Source organism: Homo sapiens, chromosome 19 (assembly GCF_000001405.40).
Source record: "Homo sapiens chromosome 19, GRCh38.p14 Primary Assembly".
NCBI classification, from domain to species: Eukaryota; Metazoa; Chordata; class Mammalia; order Primates; family Hominidae; genus Homo; species Homo sapiens.
The window spans coordinates 21,055,978-21,064,678 of record NC_000019.10 but is presented as its reverse complement, the minus strand read 5'-3'; the positions used below and the strand labels follow the sequence as shown (position 1 = coordinate 21,064,678).

General features: G+C 38.4%; 1 protein-coding gene and 1 pseudogene across 4 annotated transcripts in view; both read right to left on the bottom strand.

Moving 5' to 3' along the window:
• Positions 418-755, bottom strand: VN1R80P (vomeronasal 1 receptor 80 pseudogene; annotated as a pseudogene).
• The window catches only part of ZNF430 (zinc finger protein 430), a 39,394-nt gene continuing 35,321 nt past the window's right edge, over positions 4,629-8,701 (bottom strand). For all 4 annotated transcript variants that reach the window (NM_025189.4, NM_001172671.2, XM_047439464.1 and 1 more), the window contains one exon: positions 4,629-8,048. In NM_025189.4, the coding sequence (NP_079465.3) occupies positions 6,658-8,048 (1,391 nt within the window). In that variant the 3' untranslated portion in view covers positions 4,629-6,657. The remainder of the gene's footprint in view (positions 8,049-8,701) is intronic.

Below are 8,701 nucleotides of genomic sequence, written 5' to 3'. Positions count from 1 at the left end.
AACATTTGCACTTCTATGTTGTTTGCAGCACTCTTCATAAAAGACAAAATATAGAATCAACAGTTCAAGGCCGGGCACTGTGGCTTACGCCTGTAATCCCAGCACTTTGAGAGGCCGAGGCAGGTGGATTACCTGAGGTCGGAAGTCTCCCCCTGTTGCCCAGGCTGGAGTGCAGTGGCTCCATCTCAGCTCACTGCAACCTTCACCTCCCAGGTTCAAGCGATTCTCCTGCCTCAGCCTCAGGAGTAGCTGGGATTACAAGTGTGTGCTACCACACTGCCTAATGTTTTTGTATTTTTAGTAGAGACGGGGTTTCACTACATTGGCCAGGCTATCTCGAGCTCCTGACCTCGTGATCTGCCCGCCTCAGCCTCCCAAGGTGCTAGGATTACAGGCATGAGCCACCATGTCTGGCCAGGAACTCTGATATTTTAACAGCATGTTCCAAACCCAGCACGTTGCAAGGGAGGAGCTGATGTACTTCAGGATTTTTGCTTTAAGCTTGGGGCACCTGGAGTTTCTGGTGATGATGGTAATGGTATGAAAGACACTAAGGGGGCAGTTGTTGCCTATGGTCCCATAACTGGCCACTCTGTGAACACAGTATAACTAGTTTACATGCAAACTAACAGTAAATGTTTTAATCCCAAAACTGTCAGGATCTCCAAAAGTTATCCAGAGAAAATGACTGAGGAGTTGGCTATAGTTAGGTGACTAAAAATAAAAACTGAAGACTGAACTTCACCCACTAAAAAAATTATACAAAATGAGAGAAATTCCTCCAAATTTCAATATCAATATGGAAAAAAAATTCTTCCAAATTGCAAATTCACAGAGGTCATTTTATTATTTTGCAACCTTTAACATTTACGCTTAGAAGATTCTGCATGGAAACATAAGTTGTGTTATATCACAGAGAATTCAATATAAAATTGTTCACTTACCATTAACTCTTTTAAAAATTTAATTTTTGCCAGATGCAGTGGCTCATGCCTGTAATCCCAGCATTTTGGGAGGCCGAGGAGGGTGGATGACCTGAGGTTGAGAGTTCGAGACCGGCCTGACCAACATGGAGAAACCCCATCTCTACTAAAAATATAAGATTAGCAGGGTGTGGTGGGGCATGCCTGTAATCCCAGCTACTCGGGAAGGCTGAGGCAGGAGAATCGCTTGAACTTGGGAGGTGGAGGTTGTGGTGAGCCGAGATCGTGCTATTGCCCTCCAGCCTGGGCAACAGAAGCAAAACTCCATCTCAAAATAAAATAAAATAAAATAAAATAAAAAATAAAGTCTCCGTGCAGTGTTTGTAATCCCAGCACTATGGGAGGCCAAGGTGGGTGGATCACGAGGTCAGGAGTTCGAGACCAGCCTGGCCAACATGGTGAAAACCTGTCTCTACTTAAAATACAAAAATTAGCTGGGCGTGGTGGTGCGCACCTGTAATCCCAACTACTCAGGAGACTGAGGCAGGAGAATCGCTTGAACCCGGGAGGTGGAGGTTGCAGTGAACTGCGATCGCGCCACTGCACTCCAGCCTGGGCAACAGAGTGAGACTCTTTCTCAAAATAAATAAATAAATAAATAAATAAATAATTTTTAAGGTATATTTTCTAGCAAATTTTTTATTTGCCACACTTTGTATAACAATGTAATAAGCTTTTTCTTTTACAAACAAACAAAACCCATGCAACTGATTTAATTCTCTCACCTGTGGACAGTGTATGCCTTTATCTTAATTCACTGATCTGAAAGTTATATTGATAAGCAAACTCTCCAGTTAAACCCAATTTTTCATGCTTGGTGCTGTGGCTCACATCTGTAATCCCAGCACTTTGGGAGGCCTAGGTGTGTGGATCACCTGAGGTCAGGAGTTCAAGACCAGCCTCACCAACAAGGTGAAACCCCATCTCCACTAAAACTACCAAACTAGCTGGACGTGGTGGCGCATACCTGTAATCCCAGCTACTTGGGAGGCTGAGGCAGGAGAATCACTTGAACCCAGGAGGCAGAGGTTGCAGTGAGCCGAGATCGCACCATTGCACTCCAGCCTTGGCAGCAAGAGTGAAACTCCATCTTAAAGAAATAGAAAACAAAAACATTTTTTCAGGGCATTAAAAATTATGAAGTTTCTCATCAAAATCTACAAAGTACCATGTGAAATGAAATGGCATGAAGACAACAAAGAGAAAACTGTAGCCATAACATAGAAAAATAAGGGCTGTGATGCATACATAGCTAGAATACACATAATACAAACAAATCTGAAGAAAATAAAAGCAGCATTTTTTTTTTTTTCAGACGGAGTCTTGCTGTGTCGCCCAGGCTGGAGTGCAGTGGTGTGATCTCGGCTCACTGCAAGCTCCGCCTCCCGGGTTCATGCCATTCTCCTGCCTTAGCCTCCCGAGTAGCTGGGACTACAGGCGCCTGCCACCACGCCTAGTTAATTTTTTGTATTTTTAGTAGAGACGGGGTTTCACCGTGTTAGCCAGGATGGTCTTGATCTCCTGACCTTGTGGTCTGCCCACCTCAGCCTCCCAAAGTGCTGGGATTACAGGCGTGAGCCACCGCACCCAGCTAGCATTTTTTTTTTTTTGAGGCGGAGTCTCGCTCTGTTGCCCAGGCTGGAGTACAGTGGTGTGATCTCAGCTCACTGCAACCTCCGCCTCCCAGGTTCAAGGGATTCTCTGCCTCAGCCTCCCAAGTAGCTGGGATTACAGGCACCTGCCACCATGCCCAGGTAATTTTTGTATTTTTAGTAGAGACGGGGTTTCACCATCTTGGCCAGGCTGGTCTTGAACTCCTGACTTCATGATCGACTTGTCTTGGCCTCCCAAAGTGCTGGGATTGTAGGTGTGAGCCACCGTGCCAGGCCACATTTTTTTTTTTTTTTTTTTTTTTTAATTCAGCAACACTCAGCTTTGCAGCCTGGAAGTGTCCTCTCCACATAAAACATCAGCTGTATTTCTTCACTACTAATATTTTCTATCTCTGACTTGAAGTTACAAACTAACTTTAGCAGAAATGTTTATGGCTTTTTCTGGAGCATGTTACACACCAAGAACTGCTATATATGCTTTCCACATTTACATGTAAAAACATCTTCATGACTTACTAAGCTTCCCTTGTATTTACCTGAACAATTTGACTCCATAAATAAATTTACTTTGTCAATTATAAAAAGTAAAAAGAACAATAACTAAAGAATAGTAAGCTTATATAGGGTTCTCCAATTGAAAACAAAATGGAGTGTTCTAGCTAAATAAAATGTAACTTAATATACTAATTGTGGAATTACATATAAAATTATTTTGTATGCACATTTCATAAAAATTATTCTTATACTCACATTCCAGCTCACATAATGAATATTTCATAAACTATAAAATAAATATACAAAATACCAAAAAGTAGGGGTCTATCATGAGTACCAGGCAAGTATAAACAGAATTTGCATGGGGAGATTCCGAAGTATAAGGCATAGATTATACAGTAATAAATTCAATACAAAGCAGAGAGTATATGTTTGCTTTTGCATTTTTGAGGTTTTTAGTTTTCTAGTAGTCACCTTGTTAAAATGACTTGTTTTGTTCCTATATTGCTCTTTTTTTTTCTGAAAGTAGGGACAAACTCATATTCCATAGTTTTCTTACAACTAAGATTTATCTTTAGACTAATATATATTTAACTCTATGTAAATCAAAACTAAAAGTTTGTATGTGTTTGTAGGCAGACAGGCCACATGTTCAAAAATATATGTAAGAAAATTTTAATAATATTTATTCAGGACTCAGAAATGTATGGATTTTATTTATACTTGCATATTTTTTATTATGACCATAAAAATAACCCTGTAACCGATAACAATTGTACATTTTAAAATAACTAAAAGTGTAGAACTGAATTGTTTGTAATACAAAGGATAAATTATTGCTAGAAGTGATGGATACCCCATTTGCCCTGATGTGATTATTATATATGGTACTCCTGTATCAAAATATGCCATATATGGCATAAATATATACTCATATTATGTACCCACAAAAATTTTAAAAATAAATTTAAATAATTGAAAAAGAAAAATTTAACCTACAGAAGCAATATTCTTTAACTAATTTGCAGTTTAAACCCACTGACAAAAGAGATTACTCAAGATGTTAATCCACTATGTTGCCAAATAGTATATTGTTACCATCTTTTTTTTTTTTTTTGAAACAGAGTTTCACTCTTTCACCCAGGTGCAGTGCCGCGATCTTGGCTCACTGCAACCTCCACCTTCTGGTTTTAAGCGATTCTTCTGCCTCAGCCTCCCAAGTAGCTGGGATTGCAGGCGCCAGCCACCACAACTGGCTAATTTTTGTATTTTTAGTAGAGACGGGGTTTCACCACGTTGGCCAGGCTGGTCTTGAACTCCTGACCTCGTGATTCATCCACCTCAGCCTCCCGAAGTGCTAGGATTACAGGTGTGAACCACTACGCCTGGCCCCTTATTGTTATTATCTTTCATCTATACCTTTAAGTAAAGTGGAACAGGTTAAAGTTCGTGGCATAATAACACTTCATTGAATGCACAATAGTATTTAACATGTTAAAAATATTGGATTAAAATATTAACCACACATAACCTAACATTTTTAAAATACACTGGATTTTATTATACAAAAGTACAATTAGTACAATAATATACTAATTTATTTTCATTTAATTTTAAATAAAATTAAAAATGTTCTCACAACGCAAAATATTACTCTGAACACCTACCTAATGCATTATTCAATATAAATTAACCATAAAGAGCCTCTTCACTTAATTTTTCATCATGCATCTTACATTTTAATGTCCTTACTCTTTCATAGAAAAGATCATAAATAATGGCCACCTAATAAAAAAGACTCATGTTTTTAATGCAGCAATAACTGATCACATGCTTTCACATGTGAATACAACTGGAATAAAGAAACAGTAGGAAATATTTTGAGAGTTGAATTACATCATTATTTACAAAAAATCTGTAATTTTTTCAAGAAATAAAGTATACTTCAAACGTAATAACTCTGCAAAAAGCCCTTCTACTCCTTTTAAAGTTATATACAAATAATTTTTCTACCAACTTTAGTTGTTTTTTTTTTTTTTTTTTTGAAATGGAGTTTCACTCTTGTTGCCCAGGCTGGAGTGCAATGGCGCAATTTCAGTTCACTGCACTCTCCACCTCCCGGGTTCAAGCAATTCTCCTGCCTCAGCCTCTCGAGTAGCTGTGATTACAGGCATACACCACCACAGCTGGCTAATTTTGTATTTTTAGTAGAGCCGTGTTTTCTCCATGTTAGTCAGGCTGGTCTCAAACTCCTGACCTCAGGTGATCCACCCTTCTCGGCCTCCCAAAGTGCTGGATTACAGGTGTGAGCCACTGCACCTGGCCCCAACTTCAGTTTTATTTTCTATACTCAGCACTCTGATTTAGTATAATATCTGAAGTCTCAGTGCCTTATATATTTCTACAGTAAATTCTCTGATATTTACATAGACTTAATTTTGGATTAAATATTTTCATTTTTACTGCATCTGCAAAAATATATTTTAGTATGAACTCTGGTGTCTTCTAAGCTGTACTTTTTGAAAAAGTGTTTTTTAAAATTTATTAAATTTGCAAAGTTTTTCTTCAATATAAATTCCCTGATGTTGAACAAAGTTTGAGCAACTACTTCAGAGTTTTCTTCTAGTACAAAATGTGTACAATAAAATCTGTGATACAAATAAAGGTACTACAACCCTCTTCACATTTGTAGTGTTCATCTTCAAAATAAATACCTTCTTCGCTTTAAAGGTTTATATTTTCTGAAAGATCTTTTGACAGTAATTGCACTTATATTCCTTTTATTAAGTATGAACTCTCCAGTGGTAAGATGTGAATAGATATTAATGGCTTTTTCATGGTCTTTATATTTGTACAATTTTTTTCAAGTATAAATGCTCTCCTGTGCAATAAGGTGTGAGCATTCATTAAAAGTTTTGCCACACTGTTCACACTTGTAGAAGTTTTCTTCAGTATGAACTATCTTACCTATAATGAAGTGTGACAACCATTTAAAGGCCTTGTCACATTCTTTACATTTCTAGGATTTCTCACCAGTATGATTTTTTATGTTTAAAAGTTTTAGGTGTTGTCAAAAGCACTGTCACATCTTTCAAGTTTGTAGAGTTTCTTTTCAGTATGAATTATCTTTTTTTTTTTTTTCTGAGATGGAGTGCCACTCTTGTTGCCCAGGCTGGAGTGCAATGGCGCGATCTCAGCTCACTTCAACCTCTGCCTCCCGGGTTCAAGCAATTCTCCTGCCTCAGCCTCCCGAGTAGCTGGGATTACAGGCATGCACCACTACGCATGGCTAATTTTGTATTTTTAGTAGAGACAGGATTTCACCATGTTGGTCAGGCTGGTCTCGAACTCCCAACCTCATGTAATTCACCCGTCTCAGCCTCCCAAAGTGCTGGGATTACAGGTGTGAGCCACCGCACCCAGCCAGAATTATCTTATGTCTGGTAAGAATTGAGGACTTGTTGAAGGCTTTGCCATATTCTTCACACTCATAGGGTTCCTCTTCAGTATGAATGTTCTTATGTTTAGTAAGAATTCAGGACGGGTTAGAGGCTTTGCCACAATCTTCACATTTGTAGGGTTTCTCTCCAGTATGAATTACTTTGTTCAATAAGGTTTGAGGACTGGTTGAAAGCTTTGCCGTATTCTTCACAGTTGTAGGGTTTCTCTCCAGTATGAATTACCTTATGTTTAGTAAGAGTTGAAGACTGGCTAAAGGCTTTATCACATTCTAGGTATTTGTAAGATGTATCTCCAATATGAGTTATCTTATGTTTAGTAAGGTTTGAGAATTGGTTAAAAGCTTTGCCACATTCTTCACATTTGTAGGGTTTCTCTCCAGAATGAATTACCTTATGTGCAGTAAGTTTTGGGGACCGGTTAAAGGCTTTGCCACATTCTTCACATTTGTAGGGTTTCTCTCCAGTATGAATTATCTTATGTGCAGTAAGGTTTGAGGACTCATTAAAAGCTTTGCCACATTGTTCACATTTGTAGGGTTTCTCTCCAGTATGAATTCTTTTATGTTTAGTAAGGGTCGAGGACCAATTAAAGCCTTTGCCACATTCTTCACATTTGTAGAATTTCTCTCCAGTATGAATTATCTTATGTTTAGTAAGGTATGAGAATCGGTAAAAAGCTTTGCCACATTCTTCACATTTGTAAGGTTTCTCTCCAGCATGAATTATCTTATGTGTAGTAAGGGTTGAGGATTGGTTAAAAGCTTTGCCACATTCTTCACATTTGTAGGGTTTCTCTCCAGTATGAATAATCTTATGTGTAGTAAGGTGTGAGGACCGGTTAAAAGCTCTGCCACATTCTTCACATCTGTAGGGTTTCTCTCCAGTATGAATTCTTTTATGTGTAGTAAGGTGTGAGGACCGGTTAAAGGTTTTGCCACATTCTTCACATCTGTAGGGTTTCTCTCCAGTATGAATTATCTTATGTGTAGTAAGGGTTGAGGACTGCTTAAAAGCTTTGCCACATTGTTCACATTTGTAGGGTTTCTCTCCAGTATGAATTCTTCTGTGTCTAGTAAGGGTTGAGAACCAGTTAAAGACTTTACCACATTCTTCACATTGGTAAGAATTTTCCCTAATATGAATTCTTTTATGTTGAGTTAGGTGTAAAAGCATGCAAAACGATTTGTCACATTTTTTACATTTGAAAGGCTTCTTTCCAGTATGTCTTATCTTTTGTATATTTGGATTTGAAAATTTATAAAAGACATTCACATATTTATCATATTGAAATATTTCACTCTGGGTAGTTGTCAAACACTGGTTTAGTTCATCATAACATTCTTTGTGCAGATTACACTCATCCACACTTTTACAGCCTGTTCTTAACTGTAAATCTTCATGTCCACATTTTCCATATCTTCTCAATATGACTTCTTGGAAAGAATCTTTTATGCCCTGCTCTGGCCAAAGGTCTTGGGCAAAATGAGAATATGTAACTGAAAGAAATAAAAATAACAAATTACTCCATTTACTAGACTCAGATGAATATGCTTTACAAATCTAACCCATATAATTATACAAACTACATAAACAAGATGGCATAGCAAAATAATAAAGGCCCTAATTTTTTTTTTTTTTTAGACAGAGTCTCATTCTGTAGCCCAGGATGGAGTGCAATGGCGTGATCTCTGCTCACTGCCACCTCCGCCACCCAGGCTCAAGCTATTCTCCTGCCCCAGCCTCCAAAGTAGCTGGGATTACAGGCACGCACCACCACGCACAGCTAATTTTTGTATTTTTAGTAGAGATGGGGTTTCGCCATGTTGGCCAGTCTGGTCTCGAACTCCTGACCTCAGATGATGCGTCCACTTCAGCCTCCCAAAGTGCTGGGATTACCGCACTTTGGCACACCAGCCACCGCGCCTGGCCCAAAGGCCCTAATTTTTTACAGACATGTAAATGTAACAAAAACATCCAACAAAAATACATCTGAGGAAAATTTATAAATAAGTTAAGTGTGTGAAGTGCCCCAGCTGAGCACAACATAGAGAGTGACACAGAAGAAAAAGAAAAGTCTGTTAAATTTACCCAACACAGCTCTTCCTGCTCCCCACTGCCAACTTTTGGTTTCTTTTTTAAAAGACAATTA